Consider the following 20,764-nt stretch of genomic DNA (forward strand, 5'->3'; position numbering starts at 1 on the left):
GCTCACTGCAGTGTCCAACTCCTGGTCTCAAGTGATCCTCCCACCTCAGCCTCCTGAGTAGCTAGAACTACAGGCATGTACCACTGTGCCCGGCTAACTATTCTATTTTTTATAGAAACGGGTCTCACTACATTGTCCAGGCTGGTCTCAAACTCCTGGCCTTAAGCCATCCTCCCACCTTAGCCTCCCAAAGCACTGGGGTTACAGGCATGAGCCACCACACCAAGGCTATATTTCTTCTAAAAGAAATTAATTTCATCATAAATGAGGTTAAAAACACATTAATACAAGAGTTTTTCTTTTAAGGATCACAACCAAAATAGTTTAAAATGGAGAGTTAATGCAAAGACATTAGAAGTGAAGATGGTGGCAAAACAAAAACAAAAAACCCACCCTCTAGAGTCATAAATGAAAAAAAAAATGGATGCTGGGCACAGTGGTTCATGCCTGTAATCCCAGCACTTTGGGAGGCCAAGGCAAGTGGATCACCTGAGGTCGGAAGTTCGAGACCAGCCTGACCAACATGGAGAAACCCTGTCTCTACTAAAAATACAAAAGTAGCTGGGCGTGGTGGCGCATGCCTGTAATCCCAGCTACTCAGGAGGCTGAGGCAAGAGAATTGCTTGAACCCAGGAGGCGGAGGTTGTGGTGAGCTGAGATCACACCATTGCACTCCAGCCTGGGCAACAAGAACAAAACTCCGCCTCAAAAAAAAGAAAAAAGAAAAAAAAATGGAGACCCATATATTCTAAATCAAAATTACTTACCTTACATATAGAGGAAGCGACAAGGAGAAAATATGTAGCTTCATTTATATAATCTTTACCAAAAATAAATAAACCCTATCTAGTGAAAGAAAAAACTGTGAAGTCTAAAGTTAGGTCAACTTCCACAGAAAATTTAAAACGGTTTTAAAATTCTAGCCTATAAGGCCGGGCGTGGTGGCTCACGCCTGTAATCCCAGCACTTTGGGAGGCCGAGGCAGGCGGATCACAAGGTCAGGAGATCAAGACCAGCCTCACCAATATGATGAAATCCCATTTCTACTAAAAATACAAAAATTAGTTGGGTGTGGTGGTATGAGCCTATAATGCCAGCTACTCGGGAGGCTGAGACAGGAGAATTGCTTGAACCCAGATGCTTGAAGCAGAGGTTGCAGTGAGCAGAGATCACGCCATTGTACTCCAGCCTGGGCAACAAGAGTGAAACTCGGTCTCAAAAAAAAAAAAAAAAAAATGTAACCTATAATAAAAAAAACGAGTAAATTAACTACATCTCTGGCAAATATAATGATTTTCTCTTTTTATTTAACCAAATAAACCAAGTAAAAAGAGAAAAAAATCATTATATTAAAAATAACCAAAAAAATTACATTAATAGTGACAGAACACAGTAGATATTACACAGGCATATATGCATGTGTTCACAAAGTGACATCAAGGACATAGAAACATGTTTGTGATGTAATGTTGAGGGAAACAAGCAGGTCACAGAATGTTACAGGATTTTATAAAGATGTAAAGGAATTTTACTAAATTATGGGCAATCATACTATGGCATCCTTTTTTCTGCACCTTTATAACTTTCTCTTCCTTAAAAGTATTTAACTGTGAGATGTATTTTGTCAGGAAAAAAAGAAAGAAAGAACACAGTGCTAGCATTAAACATTAAACATTTTTTAAAAAACATTTTTACACTTTTAAATTCTAATGGATATCTACTTTGGGCCAGTAGAGTAAGAGGGACCAGAGTTACTTTCCCATCTGAAACAAATAAACAAAAAACAGACAAAGTACATTCAACAGTAGTTCTTGAGATTGTCCAGACTGTGCTGCGGGGAGGGAGAATCCAACAGGAGCCAGGCCATTTCCCTGAGCTGAGGAGGTGGAGCTGGCAGTCTGGGAAAGCCAAGACACCTAGAGGTAGCAGGGCACAATACCAGAGAGGATAGCACTACACAGAGAATTGTAGGATATGCAGAGGGTCCCATTCAAGTCTTCAGCTGAGAGCTGATGCGCGCACGCGGGCATGCGTGTTTGTGTGTACAAATCAAGGCCAGAGAAAACCACCTGAAAAGATAAGAGGGAACCATCTTCAAAGTTCATACAGGGCCAGTTCCTCTTCCTACCAGCCAGAGTAGAAAACCTCATAATTCAGGGGGTATCAAGTAGAACACTCAGAGATGGTTTGCCTCGGTAGTGGGGCAAAATAAGCCCTAAACTCTGCTCTTGTCTCATTAGGCACAAGACCTAAAAGAATTAACCTGTTTCCATGTAGCCTAACCACAGCCCAGACAAAGGTCAAAAATATTTAAAAGAAGAGAAAAAAAATCCAACACCTAATAAGGTAAAATTCACAAGGTCTGGAATCTGATTTTTAAAACTACCAGGTATGCAAAGAAGTAGGAAAATACTACCTGTAATGAGGAGAAAAATCAGCCAATCAAAAATTCAGAAATTACACAGGTGATAGAATTAGTAGACAGAGACATTAAAGCAATTATAAATTATAAATTCTGTTTGTTCAAGAAGCAAGAGGAAGCTTGAATATGTTAAGTAGAGCCTAGAGCCATGGAAGATATAAATAAAACCCAAGTCAAACTTCTGGAGATGAAAACTACAGTGTCTGAGATTTAAAAAACAAAACAAAACAAAAAAAACCCTAGATGAGATAAACAGCAGATTAGAAATTACAGAAGAAAAAAATAGTGAACTTAAAGATATAACAATGGAAACTATCCAAAATGAAATCAGAGAAAAAAGACTGAAAAAAACCTGGTAATTTACTCAAAATTGATCTTATAATTCAATGCAGAATTTCAGCATGCTTTTTGGAGAAATTAACAAACTTATCCTAAAATGTATATGAAAATGCAAAGGACCTAGAGTAGCCAAAATAATTTTTAAAAGGAAGAACAAAGTTGGATATCTACCTAATTTCAAAAATTACCATAAAGTCGCAACAATCAAGACAATGTGGTGCTGGTACAACATAGAGATCACTGGAACAGAATAAAAAGTTCAGAAGTAAACCCTTACTTTTATGGTCAGTTGAGTTTTGACAGGTCAGATGGCTGCTAATAAGCATCATCCTAAATAAAAAGGAATAGCCTACTGATAAGTGCTCCAAAGTGGCTGAACCTCAAAAACATTATGCTAAGTGAATGCAAGCCAGACACAGAAGACCATGTATGGCTACATTTACATGAAATTTCCCCCCAAAAAGCAAATCTTTTAGAGACAGAAAGTAGATCAGAGGTTACCTGGGACTAGGGATGGGAGCAAGGATTGACTACAAACAGGTACAAGGAAGGGAATTTGGGGAATGATTAGGTGTCTAAACTGGATCGTGGTAATGGCGGCACAACTCTATAAGGGAATTTGGGGAATGATTAGATGTCCAAACTGGATTGTGGTAATGGCGGCACAACTCTATAAATTTACTAAAAATCATTGCATTATGCAGTTACAGTGTGTCAATTTCATGTTGTATAGATTAAGTCTGAATAAAGCTTAAAAGGGGGAAGGAGGGGGGGAAGAGTGGCTAACAAAACTTTCTCATTATTTTTTATTTTCATACATGGCTTTTTCTTTTTCTTTTTTTTTTTTGACAGAGCCTTGCTCTGTCACCCAGGGTGGTGTGCAGTGGTGCGATCTCGTCTCACTGCAACCTCTGCCTCCCAGGTTCAAGCCATTTTCGTGCCTCAGCCTTCCAAGTAGCTGAGATAACAGGCGTTTTTGTATTTTTAGTAGAGATGGGGTTTCTCATGTTGGCCAGGCTAGTCTCGAACTCCTGACCTCAGGTGATCCACCCACCTCGGCCTCCCAAAGTGCTGGGATTACAGGCGTGAGCCACAGCACCCGGCCACACGTGGCTTTTTCTTAACTATTATTTAATTTACAGCCGGGCGCGGTGGCTCACACCTGTAATCCCAGCATTTTGGGAGGCCAAGGCGGGTGGATCACCTGAGGTCAGGAGTTCGAGACCACCCTGGCCAACATGGTGAAACCCCGTCTCCTCTAAAAATACAAAAATTAGCCAGGCCCAGTGGCAGGCGCCTGTAATCCCAGCTACCTGAGAGGCTGAGGCAGGAGAATTGCTTGAACCCAGAAGGTGGAGGTTGCAGTGAGCCAAGATCGCACCACTGCACTCCAGCCTGGGTGACAGAGCAAGACTCCATCTCGGGGGAAAAAAAAAAAAAGTTTAATTTACTACACAAGTAATTCATCATGTATGTTCATACATATTTTTACACTTAAAAATTCACATAAGCAAAAAAGAACAGAAATAGATCATATACAATCCTGCTGCACAAATAACGTCTTAGTGAATGGAAAGCATTATTCCGAGCTTACATTTATTTCATTGGTTTATGCTGAGATTTCTTGCCCTAGTTTAAGATACTAAATTTTTTCCATGCTCTGTTGAATGCGATATTTGTAAATATATTGCCTGACACAAGACAAGGCAAATAAGAAAGTTATTTGTAAATATATTGTGACAGATCCTTTTGGGTTTTTTCATTTATGGGGTTAATAAATTTATAGTGTATCAACATAAATTAATTTGTGTCAATTTACAGGAATGGTTCCCCAAGGTGAGGCCAACTTTGCTCCATCTCTAAGCCCTGGGAGCTCCATGGTGCCGATGCCAATCCCTCCTCCTCAGAGTTCTCTTCTCCAGCAAACTCCACCTGCCTCCGGGTATCAGTCACCAGACATGAAGGCCTGGCAGCAAGGAGCGATAGGAAACAACAAGTAAGGGGGCAGTTTTTATATATGAGCATCCTTGATACTGTGATAAATCCTTGATACTGATAAATGCTACAGTGGTTGAACCTCAGGAACATTATGTAAAGTGAAAGAAGGCCGGACACAAAAGGCCACATATGGCTACATTTATATGACGTTTCCCCGTTCCCCCGTTTATGTGTGGAGACAGAAAGCAGCACATAAGAACAGCCATGCTTTCATGGGCTGATTGTATTCACAGGCTAAGTAGAAGATTATTGGCTACTTCCATTTGCATAATGGAAAGAACTAAATTTTATATTATCAGCAAAGAAAAATGATTTTTAAATCTTATAAGTATCAAGTCACTTCTAAGGCAAATTTGTGTGCTGACAGTACAGAAAAGTGATCTAGGTCCCCAACCTTTCCATCCTAACCTGAGCACACCTGCAGAATATGATGAGCTCACATCAGTAACAGAGCTTCCCTGGGACAGACATAGAAATGGGTACTTTTTTAAAAGTTTTTCTTTATAAGAACACTTTAAAATCTTATAAATCTAAAACCAAGAATGGCAAATGTCAGAATTCAATAGAGCTGAGTAGTGGGCACACAAGTTTCACTTTTCTCGATGTATTTAAAGACTTTATAACAATAACAAAAGTTTTTAAGGCTTACCCCTTTTAGAATCTCTAGATTTTTAGTGACCTTGACTCACCCATCTTGCTTAGAATTATCTCACTAAAGCCTTTTTTTTTTTTTCTCCAAATCCTGGCTGCTGAACTTTTCACACATCACTTTGAGTTTTATAAGGATTTTAATTTGGTTGTGTCTTAGTTATAATGACAGGGAAGCTGTCTGATCTGACAACATAATAAGTAAGGCAGTTAAAGTTGAAAACACAAGACTATATTCTTCTAAAGTTCATTGAAAGGTGAGAGAAAATCTTCATGTTAGAGAACTGTGTAGGTCTCAGTGAGGACCATGTATAAATTAGGTAGAAATGGAACCATATCTGTAATACAAGAGGAATTTAGTCTCCTAATGTATTCTAATCCCAACTTCCTAAACTCACTCTGGATTTTGTGGCCCATCATTATAATCACTACCTTACAGGTACTCTGACTCCCTTGCCTATCTCTCCCTCTGTTGCACTTATGCCTGGCAAAATTCTCCCTAATGAAATCCAACTAAACTCTTACTTTATACCTCCACCTAAGTATTGAAATATGGCTTGGGGAAAAAAAAAAACAGTCATGCTGACATGTCTCAATAACCTATTTCTCTGCTCCCCTTTACAGTTAAATTCCTTAAAAGATTATACTCTATCCACTTCCCCTACTCCTACTCCTTGTTGAACTAATCAGGCTTTCATTCCCATCATTCCACAGAAAGTGTCCCTGTCAAGATAGTTAAATGTCCTTTTCAGTGCCAAAAGCAATGCTCATCAGTAGCATTTGACATATTTGAGCATTTATTCTTTCTTGAAGCTCTTCATTTGGTTTCTAGAACAACTCTCTGTCTTGAGAAAAGTGACTCTCCTCCTATCACTTAGTCTCCTTGAGGATCTTTCTCATCTCCATGACCTCCATTTGAGGGCCCCAGAGGTGATTCTAGGACCTCTTCGCCATACCCACTCCCTCCTTTGGTTGCATCACCCATCTTACTATTGTCAATGCCTACTGCTATGCTTGACTCCCAAATTTAAACCTCCAGTGCAGATGGCTTTCCTGAACACCATACTCTATATTCAGCTGCCTAACCAATATCTCCACTTATAAGTCTAATAGGCATCTCAAACTTAACATGATGAAAACTAAAGTGATATTTTCACCAGACCTGCTCCTCTGGGTTACTTTTTCCCATTTCAGTAAATGACAATTCCATTTTCCACTTGTCCAGAAGAAAAGTCTTTCTCTTTCTCACATCCCACATCCAACACATCAGCAAATCATGTCAGCTTCTTAGCACCTCTCTCTTCTTACCTATTCCACATGTGCACCTTAATGCAAGCCACAATCATCTTTTCCCTGGGCCATTCCAGTAGCTTCCTCTCCTGCTTCCACCCTTGCTGCACCATCATTTAATCTCCACATGGGTAGCCAGAGCCATGCTTTTAACACATGAGGCAGAGTATGTCCGTCCTTTACGCACAACTCATCCAGTAGCTCCCCATCTTACTCAAAATACAGAATAGGGCCCGTAAAACCCCACATCATCTTGTTCCTGGATACCTCTCTGATCCCATCTGTTATTCTCACCGCTCACTCTGCCACAATGGCTTCCTTTTATCCTTCTGCTCCTCAGATGTGCGAAGTACACTGCAAACTCAGGATGTTTGCATTTTTTAATCTCTCTGCTGGAATGTTCTTCCCTCAGTGGCCACATGGCTTGTCTCTCACAGTTCAAGTCTTTCCTTAAATGTCACTTTATTAGACACAGACATTAAATGTGACCTTATTACACTTCCCTGACCACCATTTCTGAAATAATAGCATTTTCTACCCCTGGCGCCTCCTTTCCATTCTTTACTTTTTTCATAGTGATTAACACTTGACATACTGTGTGATAGTCTATTTATTTGTGATTTTTCTTCTCCATCTAGAATATGAGCATCATAAGAGCAAGGACTTTATTTTGTATTACTTCTGTTTCTCCATACTCTGGAACAGGGAGGCCCTTCATATACATCTATCAAACAAATGAGTACAAATACTCCCTAAGTCAACATCTTGGATTCAGATTCAAATATGGGTATAGGTTTTCGTTGTATTTTAGTAGTTTTTGCAAACTTTGACTTTCCAAATCATTTGGGAAAGAAAACAGTTACCACCAACTCTTTAAACACTCACACTTGCTCATTTGGTTCATGTGCAAAAGCTTATTAGTCATCATAAGCCTTGTGTATTAGCGTATATCACCTGGAGACAGTGACCACTCACTGTCTCTGTCACACAACACAAGATACCATGAGGAACACTGAAAAACAACCCCTGCTGCCAAATAACGAAGAGTCTAGTTGGTGAGGGGGCAGGTCAGAGAGAATTAAAACATGAAACAGTCAGAGAACCATTAAGTAGAATGATGTAATAGAGTTCAGAGGTAGTGTAACATGATTCTTTTTCATTATCTCTCTGGTGGCAAGAGAAAGAAATGGTTAAACAAACCTGTGGGTCCTGGAACTGGGTAGTGCTTCTGTGTAAGGCTGGTTGATGGGAGAATCCCATTGCTTATTAGCATTTTAAAGGATAAGAAGTCCTGTTGTTTAACCTTTTGTTTCTCAGACTTATTTGACCAGGGACTCCCCTGCTTGTTAATACCTGTAATATCTGTGGAACCCACTCTGGGCCAGAGTATTCATCCTTCTCTTTTTCCCATCATTTAGTGACTACCAAATACCTAGTGCTACCCTGAGAAAACTGTGATAGCTGCTACAAAGCAGGCAGGAAAGCAGAGTGAGGAAGAGGGCCTGTGAATGTTGGACTTTAGGTGTCAGTGGACCCAGACGTCTTTCTAGGACCTAGGACAGTGATTGCAGCTGCAGAAGAGCTTGGTCTCCTTCCCTTAATGGGAGATGCTAAAATGGAACTATTGGCAGGAGCAGTTTGAAAGAACTTAAACTAATATACAGTCCCAAATATTAATTTGAAAGGAAATTAAGCTCTAAATTTTTTTCAATAAGTATGACATCATTGCAGTCCTTGAAGTTTCCACATGCATTAACTTACATAGCCTTGCTCCTCCGCAGTGGTGACTTATGTATCAATTGACAAATGAGTACTGTCTTAGGCAGAAATGTTCTCATTAGAAAATAGGCATAGAGGCTGGGTGCAATGGCTGATGCCTGTAATCCCAGCACTTTGGGAGGCCGAGGCAGGTTGATCATCTGAGGTCAGGAGGTTGAGACCAGCCTGACCAACATGGCAAAACCCCATCTCTACTAAAAAAAAAAAAAAAAAAAAAAAGAATACAAAATTAGCTGGGCGTGATGGCACACGCCTGTAATCCTAGCTACTCGGGAGGCTGAGGCAGGAGAATCACTTGAACCCAGGAGGCAGAGGTTACGGTGAGCTGAGTTTGCGCCATTGCACTCCAGCCTGGGCAACAAGAGTAAAACTCCCATCTCCAAAAACAAAAGAAAATAGACATAGATTAGTAGGCTTTTTTCTCACCTTTAGTTGTAGGATCACTGCCCCATAAGCATACACACTGTGCAGACATTAATGGTCCACAGGTGTATTACTGACTATTTCCTAGGCATATAATTTTCTGTGGGCATTTTTGTTTTATAATTACTTGGGGGAAAATTCTGTACTTTTCTTCAGACATGATAAATAGGCTGTTTATTGGCCTGTCAATTCAGTATGATTACCTTAGTCTACTGGAAACTGTAAATGTCAGTATATCCTTCTTAACACTAAGAGCTAGCGAGGAATAGATAAACTATTGATGGGGAAAATTATTTCTAAAATCAAATTCTATAGAATTAATATTAAAATAGGTGGAATTTTACCAGCAGTTTATTGTTAACAATTAATATATAGTCATAAAATATTTGATGTTTATAGAACTTAGGAAAGACAGAATTAATATCATTATCCTTTAGATGTGCATATCTGTATCAATGAAAATTTTCAGGGTTCAAATACAAAGTGTCAAGTTGAATTCCCATGGAGTTTATTGCTTACTATTCTACTTCCTAATAGAGACTGATTTTACATTTGAGATCTTTGGTGTAACAACAGTCCAGAACTTGGCCATGAAGAAGGAAGTCAGTAAAACAGGCTCTCTGAAAAACATAACTGCTTATGTATTTTGCTTCCTAGAAAAGACATGAAGCTATGTTGAGGCCTGATAAGACCTTGGAAGTCTTTAAAAGGATTAAATTTGCCACCTAAAAACATTTGGTTGTATACATCTGGCTTCCTCTTAATTTGTAGCATATTGAAAGCGACCAGAAGATAAAACCTTGAGAAGTGACAACAAGCTATAGGATATTGAATAAAGGGTCTCAAATTTTAGTATGCATGAATAGTTAAAGATGGACCTTTCTATACCCACCCCTGGAAAATGTGATTCACCAGGGCTTGAGTAAAACCTGGGAGTCTCAATTGCCAGTGAGTCCCAGGGTATTCTCTTGTAGATGGTCTCTGCACTACACTTCAAAAAATGTATGCCACTTCACTGGCACAGATACAGTAAACCATTTAATAGAAAACAATCTGAACTGCACCATTTGACAGCACCGAATAATAATCCATGCCATAATTCATTTATTCATCAGGTATTTACTGAGTGCCTGCTATATGTCACATATTAATAGAGATGAGAAATAAGTGGAACAAGATACCATCACTCCCCTGAAGTATTAAGTCTAAGAGGCTCTACAAGCAAACACAATATAAGGATGCTGTCTTTGAATCATTCATTCGTGTGTTAATTCATTCAGTGAACATTTATTGAAGATATATATATATATGTATATATATGCCAGACACTTTGCTCAAATAGGACATTCTCTGTTTAGATAGGTAAATGTCAGTTACCTAGAAGATTTACTTACATGGAAAACTTCCTTTCTTAATTATTTAGATGATTGTAGCCTAGCATCTCTGATATTGTGCCAGATAATTGTTATTTAAAATGAGCTCTTTTCAGTTATTTAATCCCTTATGTAGACTTCAGAATGTATCTGAATTATATTAATTTTTATATATTTTAAGAAGTTACAGTCATACATGCAATTTAAGGATGTAACATATTTTATTTGGAAACAGAATCTAGTCATATATCCCCTTGTTCATGATCAGTGGATGTAATCTGGATTGTTTTTGAGTTTACAGTGTGTTCAGTCAAGCTGTCCAGAACCAGCCCACGCCTGCACAGCCAGGAGTATACAACAACATGAGCATCACCGTTTCCATGGCAGGTGGAAATACGAATGTTCAGAACATGAACCCAATGATGGCCCAGATGCAGATGAGCTCTTTGCAGATGCCAGGAATGAACACTGTGTGCCCTGAGCAGGTAAGTGGCACACTCGCCACACACATGCCACACCACATCACAGTTAATTCTGAGGAAAATCAGGTATGTTGACAGTTACTCATCAGAAATAGCCACACTTCTTTATTCTTTCCCACTAACTTTTAATAATTACTGGCTCTTAAGATATACAATGAAAAATTTTGACAGACTTTTTTTTTTTTTTTTTTTTTTGAGATGGAGTCTCACTTTGTCACCCAAGCTGGAGTACAGTGGTGCAATTACAGCTCACTGCAGCCTTGACTGCCCAGGCTCAAGGGATCCTCCCACCTCAGACTCCTAAGTAGCTGGGACTGCAAGCACATGTCACCCTGCCCAGCTAATTTTTTTACTATTTGCAGAAACAAGGTCTCACTATGTTGCCCAGGCTGGGCTTGAACTCCTGGGCTCAAGCAATCCTCCTATCCCAGCCTCCCAAAGTGCTGGGATTACAGGTGTGAGCCACTACTCCTGGCCTTGACAGACTTTATAAATAAGATTTCAGTTTCATGAGATTTTAGTGTTTTAGATTTATAAAACAGTACATGGCTGGGTGTGGTGGCTTATGCCTATAATCCGAGCACTTTGGGAGGCCAAGGCAGATGGATCACAAGGTCAGGAGTTCGAGACCAGCCTGGCCAACATGGTGAAACCCTGTCTCTACTAAAAAAAAAACAAACAAAAATTAGCTGTGCGTGGTGGCATGCACCTGTAATCCCAGCTCCTTGGGAGGCTGAGGCATGAGAATTGCTTGAACCCAGGAGTTGGAGGTTGCAGTGAGCTGGTAATTGCGCCACTGCACTCCAGCCTGGGCAACAGAGCAAGACTCCATCTCAAAAAAACAAACAAACAAAAAAACAGTACATGTAATATATTGTCTTGGAATATTCCATTATATTTTGAAACATTTTCTTCATCTCTACCTTTTAATTCAATAAGCATTTATTCAGTACTTACTGTGTACAAAGATAGCCTTGTGGGACATGCATATGTACAAGTTGGGAAAGACACAACATGAACAAAGGATCATTTTAATCATAGGACAAAACTGGTATGTAAGAGATAGGCCATATGTGTTTCTGTCAGATGAGGAGTGTATGCACAGTTGACTACTGAGGGCTTAAAAGAAAAAAGGCCTGGTCAAAAAAAGGCATTATGAAAAAGTTGCCTAAACAGAATAGAAAAAGAACATTCAAGATTGGTTATCACAGCATGACCTAGGCAGGATAGGAGTTGAAAGCCTAATTAATGTTAAGGGGATATTTATATTTTATTTAGAGAAGAAGTAATGTGGTAAGCTTTTTTGATATGTTGCATGCCATCTAAGTGTGTGGAATTTATCCTGGAGCCTCTTACATATTTTTAGAAGAGAATGAATAAATTCAAAACAATATTTAAGATTATTGCAATAACTCTCTATAGTTGCTATTCTCATTATTCGTATCAGCAACCACAAAGTATGCTATAGTAACTAGGCTATTACCATGCAGCCATCATTTATAGGCAATCATAAAAATATATAAACACCAATTACCTTTTTTATCTTCAAATGATACTATATCACCTCATGTATAGAGGTGTATATTATATCACCTCTATATCACATGAGGTGATATATGTATGTATAGAGGTATAATATAATGTATAGAGGTATATATAATGTATAGAACCTCATTACAATTTATTTCTATTTTGTCCCTCCTGTGCTACTGTTGTCATACATGTTATATTTATATATGTTCTGTTCCCTGCAATTTATTATTTTTTCTTTAGTCAATTATAAATTATAAATTTATAAATTCTACTTACAAATTTATAAATTAATTATAAACTATAATTGACTATTTAAAGAAAATTTAAATAAAAGCTTTTTTATATTTACCCACATAGTCACCACTTTAAATTTTCTGCATTCTTTTTGTAGTTCTAAATTTCCATTTGGTATTATTTTCCTTCTGCCTGAGGGTCTTGCTTTAACTTTTTTTTTTTCTTTTTTTTTTTTTTGAGATGGAGTCTCGCCCTTTAGCCCAGGCTGGAGTGTGGTGGCACAACCTCAGCTCACTGCAACCTCCACCTCCCAGGTTCAACCGATTCTCCTGCTTCAGACTCCCAAGTAGCTGGGACTACAGGCACCCGCCACCATGCCCGGCTAATTTTTTTTTTTTTTTTTTTTTTTTGTATTTTTGGTAGAGATGGGGTTTCACTGTGTTAGCCAGGATGGTCTCAATCTCCTGACATCATGTTCTGCCCGCCTCGGCCTCCCAAAGTGCTGGGATTACAGGCGTGAGCCACCGCGCCCGGCCTTGGCTTTAACATTTTTATAGTGCAGGCCTGCGGCTAATGAGCTTTTCTATGTCTGAAAAAGTCTTTCACCTTCATCTTTGAATGTTCTTTCCCCTAAACTCTAGCTTGGCAGTTTTAGCTTTCAGTACTTTAAAGATGTTGCTCCACTACAGTGTTGCTGATGAGACATCTGCTGTCATTTTATCTTTGTTCTTCCATGTATGATTGATGTTTTTCCCCTCTGGCTGATTTTGATTTTTCTCTCCACCACTGGTTCTAAGTAATTTGATTATGATATGCTTCAGTGTATTTTCTTCATATTTCTTATTCTTGGGGTTCATTGAGCTTCTTGATTCATTACCATATAATTTTCATTAAATTTTGGAAAAAATTTTTTGTTGTCGTTTTTTGTTTTTTTGTGGTTTTTTTGAGACAGAGTCTCACTCTGTCACCCAGGCTGGAGTGTAATGGCGCAGTCTCCACTCACTGTAACCTCCACCTCCTGGGTTCAAGCAATTCTCCTGCCTCAGCCTTCTGAGTAGCTGGGAGTACAGGGGTGCGCCACCACACCCAGCTAATTTTTATGTTTTTAGTAGAGACGGGATTTTGCCATGTTGGCCAGACTGGTCTCAAACCCCTGACCTCAGGTGATCTGCCCACCTCGGCCTCCCAAAGTGCTGGGATTATAGGCGTGAGCCACCACACCCGGCCAAATTTTGGAAAATATTGATCATTATTTCTTCAAATAATTTTTGTCACCATCCTTATTCCTCTCCTTCAGAGACTTCAGTTGCATGTATAGTGCACTTGAAATTGTCTCACATTCACCGATTCTCTAGGTTTGGGGGCTTTCGAGCACTGGGATGAGGTTCAGTTATTTTTTTCTTTGATTTTAGAACATTTATATTACTGTAGCCTCAGGTTCACTAATTCTTTATTTTGCAATATCTAATCTGTTTATACAGTGTATTTTTCATCTCAGACATAGCAGTTTTCATATCTAGCAGTCATATTTGGATCCTTTTTATATCTTCCATATCTCCAACATTTTTTTCATATCTGTTCAGCCTTTCCTCTTATTTCTTAAACAAATGGAATATGGTTATTATAATTGTCCTGATATTTCTCACCTATCAGTTCTATTATCAGCATCATTTTTGAATTGATTTCAGTTGACTTCCCTTTTCATTATGCATCATATTTTTCTGCCTCTTTGCATGCCTGGTAATTTTTTATTGGATGCCAGACATGAATTTTACCTTGTTTATATTCCTACAAATATTCTTGAGCTTTGTTCTAGGAAATGGTTACTTGGAAGTTTGATCCTTGCTTTTTTGTTTACTGCGACCAAAGCAGTATTTTTTCTAGGGCTAATTCTAACCTTACCACCAAGGTAAAACCTTTAATATGCTACATGATACTACATGAATTACGATGTTTTCCACTCTGGGGGGTGAAATCAGGGCTTATTCCCAGCCCTGTGGGGACTTTGGGAATTGTTCCATGTCATCTATTCAGGTGATTGTTTCCCCTGCATCTATAAGCTGATTAGTACTGAGCTTCAGACTTGAGGGCCACTGCAGATCTATTCCAGAGCTCTCTCTGATATTCTGCTCTGAGGATTCTAGCTGCATCCCCTTAACTCAGGGAGCCTGCCAGGCGCTGCCTGGATTCCCTTTGTCCATGATACAGCCGGAAATACACTCCAGGCAGTAGGCTGGGCGGTTGCCACAGTAGGGACTGCTGAACTGTTAGGGATCACTGTCCTTCGTTGCCTTTGTCTAATGTCTTCAGTGCCTTTTTTTCACATATTTTGTCAATTTTTTTAGCTGATTGAGGCAGGAGGATAAGTCTGATCCCTGTTACTAAATCTTGACCAAAGTGTGAGTCTACCACTAATTAACATATGTATGTGTGAATTAACTTTTTATTAAAGTATCATATATAAGAATATAGAGAAAAGTGTACAACTCAATAGATTTTCACAAAGTGAACACACCTGAGTACCACTCAGATCAAGAAACAGAATGTCATCAGTACCCCAGAGGTTCTCCTTGTGTCCCTTACACACTCACTACCCCACAAGGGGAATGACTATCCTGACTTGTAACAACACAGTTAATTGCTAAGCTTTTCATTTTTGCTGTGCTCCTATTACTTTTCTGTCAGTGAGATTGTTTTTCATTGGAGAATTTGGTTTTCAGTTTAAACAACTAGCTTGTAATTTGATCTTGTATTTATCTTTAATAGATAAATGATCCCGCACTGAGACACACAGGCCTCTACTGCAACCAGCTCTCATCCACTGACCTTCTCAAAACAGAAGCAGATGGAACCCAGGTCAGTAAGGAAATTCTAAGCCCAGAGCTGTCAAATGTACTCTAGATGCACAGAGGTCATTGTGTAGCATCATTAAGAGCCTGACCTTGGGAGTCAGACCTGGGTGTGAGTCCTGGCTCTGCTCTTCTTAGCTGTGTCGTCCTGGGCATGTTATGGAGCTTTCCTGAGCTGCTGTATAACCACAGAACTAACATGACACCTGCTTATAGGATTGTTGAGAGGATTCAATGAGATCAGTTCAGATGGCTTAACTCAGTGCTTAGATAGGATAAAGTGATCACAAATGGTGGCCACTAATTGTTATTTTGTAAATAAGCACAGTGCTAAAAACTCATCTGTAATCAAAATACCTCAGAAGATCTCAGTAATTCAGACAAAACAGAGTACCTGCTGTATACTTCACCTCCTAAGAAGTATGTTTCAAAACAGCACAAACAGCAAGGTGGCCACTTTCCTATATTAACCTAATTTAGAAATTGTGGGCCGGGCGCGGTGGCTCATGCCTGTAATCCCAGCACTTTGGGAGGCCGAGGCGGGCGGATCACAAGGTCAGGAGATTAAGACCATCCTGGCTAACATGGTGAAACCCTGTCTCTACTAAAAATCCAAAAAATTAGCCGGGTGAGGTGGCGGGTGCCTGTAGTCCCAGCTACTTGGGAGGCTGAGGCAGGAGAATGGCATGAACCCCGGGGGGCGGAGCCTGCAGTGAGCCGAGATCACGCCACTGCATTCCAGCCTGGGCGACAGCGAGACTCCATCTCAAAAAAAAAAAAAAAAAAAATTTTGGAGGAAGGGCTTAATTCACTTTCGTAACTTTGGTTGAACTTTGGTCTCTCTCTCTTTTTTTTTTTTTTTTTTTTTTGAGTTGGAATTTCGCTCTTTTGCCCAGGCTGGAGTGAAGTGGCGTGATCTTGGCTCACTGCAACCTGCGCCCCCTGGGTTCAAGCGATTCTCCTGCCTCAGCCTCCCAAGTAGCTGGGATTATAGGCGCCCGCCACCATGCCCGGCTAATTTTTCGTCTTTTCAGTAGAGACAGGTTTTCGCCATTTTGACCAGGCCGGTCTCGAACTCCTGACCTAAGGTGATCCACCCGCCTCGGCCTCCCAAAGTGCTAGGATTACAAGCATGAGCCACCACGCCAGGCCAGACTTTAGTCTCTTAATGAACATTTTTAACCCAGGGATTATGCCACAGATGGCAGTAGGAAGACACATAAGATATGTTCCATCAGCATCTGGTGAACTGTGGGGAGAAGTGAGGAAAGGAAACTTCATTTGTGAAATGCTTGTGGTTTGCCAGGCACTGTGCTATGCACTGTATGCATTATCTCATTTAAGCCTCACTATAACCCTATGAACGAGGTAGTATTCCTTTTCTTCACAGATGAAGAAACTGAACATGAGGAGGTTTAACTACATGTACCATTCACAGTGCTAGAAAGAGGAAGAGCTGAGGTTCAAACCCAGGTCTTTCTACCGCCAGAGTCCACACTGTTCCTGCCATACCAGTTAGGGACTGCTGAAAGATAAAACACATCAATATATGCACCTAAACTGTCATAAAACCAAAGAAGGCAAATTATTAAATTTATGTTACAATTAATGAACCATAAGCATTCAAAGAAAGGAGAATTTGCTGAGATGGTCACAAGAGCATTTTTGCAAGAGATAGAGCTGAGCTGAGCCTTGAAGGACAGTTACCAAGGCAAAGGGAAGGAAAAGGGTATGGTAGTTGTTGGAGGCTGGTGCAGAGGTAGATTTAGAAGTAGAAGGAACTGGAAGGCCACAGAAACAGGGAAATAGTAATATCTCAACATAGTCCTGGGAAACCAAATCAACTGAAGGTAAAGGGTTTATAATAAGTATTCATAGGAATTAAAATTGGTAAAGTGGCTTGGGGCAAATTTCCAGAGGCCTTGAATGCTAAACTGAGGGATTTGGATTCAACCCTATGGACAGAAGAGTCATCCCTGAAAGGGAACATCGATAGAAGTGCTAGTTTAGACTTCATCTTGGGAAGAAGGTGAAGGAAGATATATTGGCCAGTTGAGAAGGACAAAGATTAGAAGACTGGGTTCACAGTCTAAGCATTAGGAAATAGGACCTGAGTCCTCTCAAGGTAAAGAGAAGGCATTTTGGCTTACACCTGTAATCCCAGCACTTTGGAAGCCTGAGGCAGGCAAATCATTTGAGGTCAGGAGTTTGAGACCAGCCTGGCCAACATGGAGAAACCCTGCCTAAAAATACAAAAATTAGCCAGGCATGGTGGCGGGCACCTGCAGTCCCAGCTATTCAGGAAGTTGAGACAGGAGAATCGCTTGAACCCAGGAGGTGGAGGTTGCAGCGAGCCGAGATCACACCACTGCACTCTATCTTGGGCGACAGAGGGATACTTCGACTCAAAAAAAAAAAAGAGAGAGAGAGAGAAGGCATTTTAAGACTGGGGAGCCGGGTGCGGTGGCTCACGCCTGTAATCCCAATACTTCAGGAGGCTGAGGCGGGCAGATCACTAGGTCAGGAGATCAAGACCATCCTGGCTAACACGGTGAAACCGTGTTAAAATACAAAAAAAAATTAGCCAGGCATGGTGGCGGGCGCCTGTAGTCTCAGCTACTCGGGAGGCTGAGGCAGGAGAATGGCGTGAACCTGGGAGGCGGAGCTGGCAGTGAGCCGAGATCGTGCCACTGCACTCCAGCCTGGGCGACAGAGCAAGACTCTGTCTCAAAAAAAAAAAAAAGATCGAGGAAATGAAGAGTCTTCATTCACCAGATGTTTTTGAAAGTCTCAAACCCACAGAGACATTACTGGGCAGCTTGACAAATTAGTTACACCCAAACAACCATGTTTTAAAGTTCCAGAGCCCTGCCCTGAAACAGTATTTGAACTGAAGCAAAAATTATGCCAGAAAATCTTCAGAGGTTGGGACTCAGCTCTCACACCAGTCTTCTCACCTGGAAGATCTGAAGCTTCTTTTGTGTCACACTTTGCCTATCTGAGAAGTTGTGACAATATAAGAAGTCCTTTGTGGACTGGTCTGAGACACCCCCTTTTAAGTAATAGTTTGAAATGGGTTTTAGAGTTTGTTCAGTCTTTTCAGTTTTCTGTAATTTCAATAATACACTTTTTTTTTTTTTTTTTTTGAGACGGAGTCTTGCTTTGTCGTTGCCCACGCTGGAATGCAGTGGTGCAATCTCAGCTCACTGCAACCTCCTCCTCCTGGGTTCAAGTGATTCTCCAGCCTCAGCCTCCCAAATAGCTAGAATGACAGGCGTGTGCCACCACACCCAGCTAATTTTTTTATTTTTTGTAGAGATGGGTCTCACTATGTTGCCCAGGCTGGTCTCAAACTTCTAGCATCAAGTGATCCTCCTGCCTCAGCCTCCCAAAGTGCTAGAATTAGAGGCATGAGCCTCCATGCCTATCCTAGACTATCTTTTAAAAAGTTTTATTTTTAAAGAAGCAGAACTTTCTAGTTTGTTTTATCATGCCTTTATCAAGAACTTTTTAAGAATTTAGGGACAAAAACATCTTATGCTCTGCCCCAATATTTCATATGTAGAAACATAAACATCAAATTTTATATGTTGACCTTTTTTTAAATCACTGCCTAAAAAAGAACTATATTTTGTGGTCATGTGAAGTTTCAGTGGTAGAATTTTCTTTCTGTTGTGGCCAATCATGAATCTTGCTCCAGTGTTTTTGTATTTACCAGACGGCAGCTGGGGAGTGAGTTAGACAGAAATATAAAGACAGATATACAGAAAGGGAGAAGAAAAAGATGAGGAGAAGAGGACTAGGGGAGTAGTAGGGAACTGGGATGGGATGGGGAGGAGGTAAGACAGGAGAGAACAGGAAGAGAACAGAGGAGTGGGAAGAGGGATGGCAGGAGGAGGTAAGACAGGAGAGAACAAGAAGAGAAGAGAGGAGCGGGAAGAGGGCTGGCAGGAGGATCGTTGACCTAGGAAGAGAGGAAGGCCTGGTGAAGCTCTAGAAGGAAAGAGTCAGAATGAGACGTTACAGACCACAAAGGCGGGGCAAGGGCACAGAGGCAGCTGGAGAGCAGACTGGGCGCGTTGGTGTGTTATAGACACAAGAGAAAGAGCCCAGAGGAGGCAGTAACAAATGGGAGCATATAGGAGCTAGAAGCCACATTTGGGAAACTAGGGAAAGGGGAAGAGAAGGAGAGAAAAGCAGTGCAAATCTAACTAGAGATTTGATTCCTTAGGCACTAGGAAAGCTCAGCTTGGGGGCTGTCTGCCTCATCTGAGAGGAAGGAAAGTGGAGATATAAACGGATTAAGAGGATAGGAGACCAGGGGACAGACTGGTGTCCAAATTTGATGCATACCACATTTGACATTTGGCTAATGAAGGTTGATGGAAAACAACTTTTACTCGATTAGGATAGAAAAGTTTTTTAAAAAGCTGAGTGTAATTGACATGAATTAGTGATAAATGACCAAAAAAAATACACCACTAATCTAAAATACTTTATGACCTATCAAACAGGAGACACAAGTTTGTCAAAAAGTTTGAGACACTTAGATGCACTTAGATGCCTTAGAAGGCATCTCCATTCCTGGTCTGGAACATTCACAAGTGTGGTATTGGCCCTAATCAGTTCTACGAACAACTTTTTAATAAGGCTGGTTGGTAAAGACTAACTTCTGGCTTTGTTTTCCCAATAGAATATGCTAGAACTGTGCAACTTTAGACATTTTTAAGGAATAAGTGTATTATTACTCATAGTAGTGAAGGGAAAATTCACACTGTTCTCAAGGCTAATAGACGTACTGTTAATTTTAGCTCATGTGTTTAAATGGATTGTCTATCAGGGGAAAAAAGTCAAATATGAAATTGTTCTAATGATAATTTGCTGTAATTCTAAAGCCAATATGTGAAAGAGCTGTGTAATAATATATTTAAATACTAAAAAATCTTTTGGACATTAACCTTAGATGCTGATGTCCTCTTATTGAGTTGTGGTTTTGTTTTGCTAATACTGGTTGAAAGCCCTTTAATTTTTCAGTGACATCATAAAGATTTTTTATCCTACTGAAATCATCCATAGAATGGTTTTAAACCAGTTTTCTAAATATCATGTATTTTTTAAAACCTACCACTGGATACCCAGACTCTGAAACTGGGCTTCTCCCAATCTTGGCAACATTAGCAATGATACTCACTTTCAGTATTGATGGCAACCCTATAGGAGGCGTGACCATTCCAATTTTGATTTTATTTTTAAAGTGTGAACTTTCCAGAACCCTGAGCAAAATGAGTGCAGCGATTTTCTTTTTGTAGGACAAGAAGACAGAAGAGTTCTTCTCTGTGGTGACTACAGACTAGAGGAATGCTCTAGTGAGTTTCCACTTCAAGTAGTACCCAC

General features: G+C 40.1%; 1 protein-coding gene across 15 annotated transcripts in view; it reads left to right on the forward strand.

Annotated features, from left to right (window-relative positions):
- The window catches only part of NCOA1 (nuclear receptor coactivator 1), a 279,449-nt gene that overhangs the window by 256,146 nt on the left and 2,539 nt on the right, over positions 1-20,764 (forward strand). For 10 of the 15 annotated variants that reach the window (XM_047446155.1, NM_003743.5, XM_047446156.1 and 7 more), the window contains 3 exons: positions 4,583-4,757; positions 10,574-10,757; positions 15,288-15,377. In XM_047446155.1, coding sequence (XP_047302111.1) covers positions 4,583-4,757; positions 10,574-10,757; positions 15,288-15,377 — 449 coding nt within the window. Of the gene's footprint in view, positions 1-4,582; positions 4,758-10,573; positions 10,758-15,287; positions 15,378-20,679; positions 20,737-20,764 lie in introns of all 15 variants that reach the window. The other 5 variants (NM_001362950.1, NM_147223.3, NM_001362955.1 and 2 more) reach the window with 1 other exon arrangement.

This window comes from Homo sapiens, chromosome 2 (genome assembly GCF_000001405.40).
Source record: "Homo sapiens chromosome 2, GRCh38.p14 Primary Assembly".
NCBI lineage: Eukaryota > Metazoa > Chordata > Mammalia > Primates > Hominidae > Homo > Homo sapiens.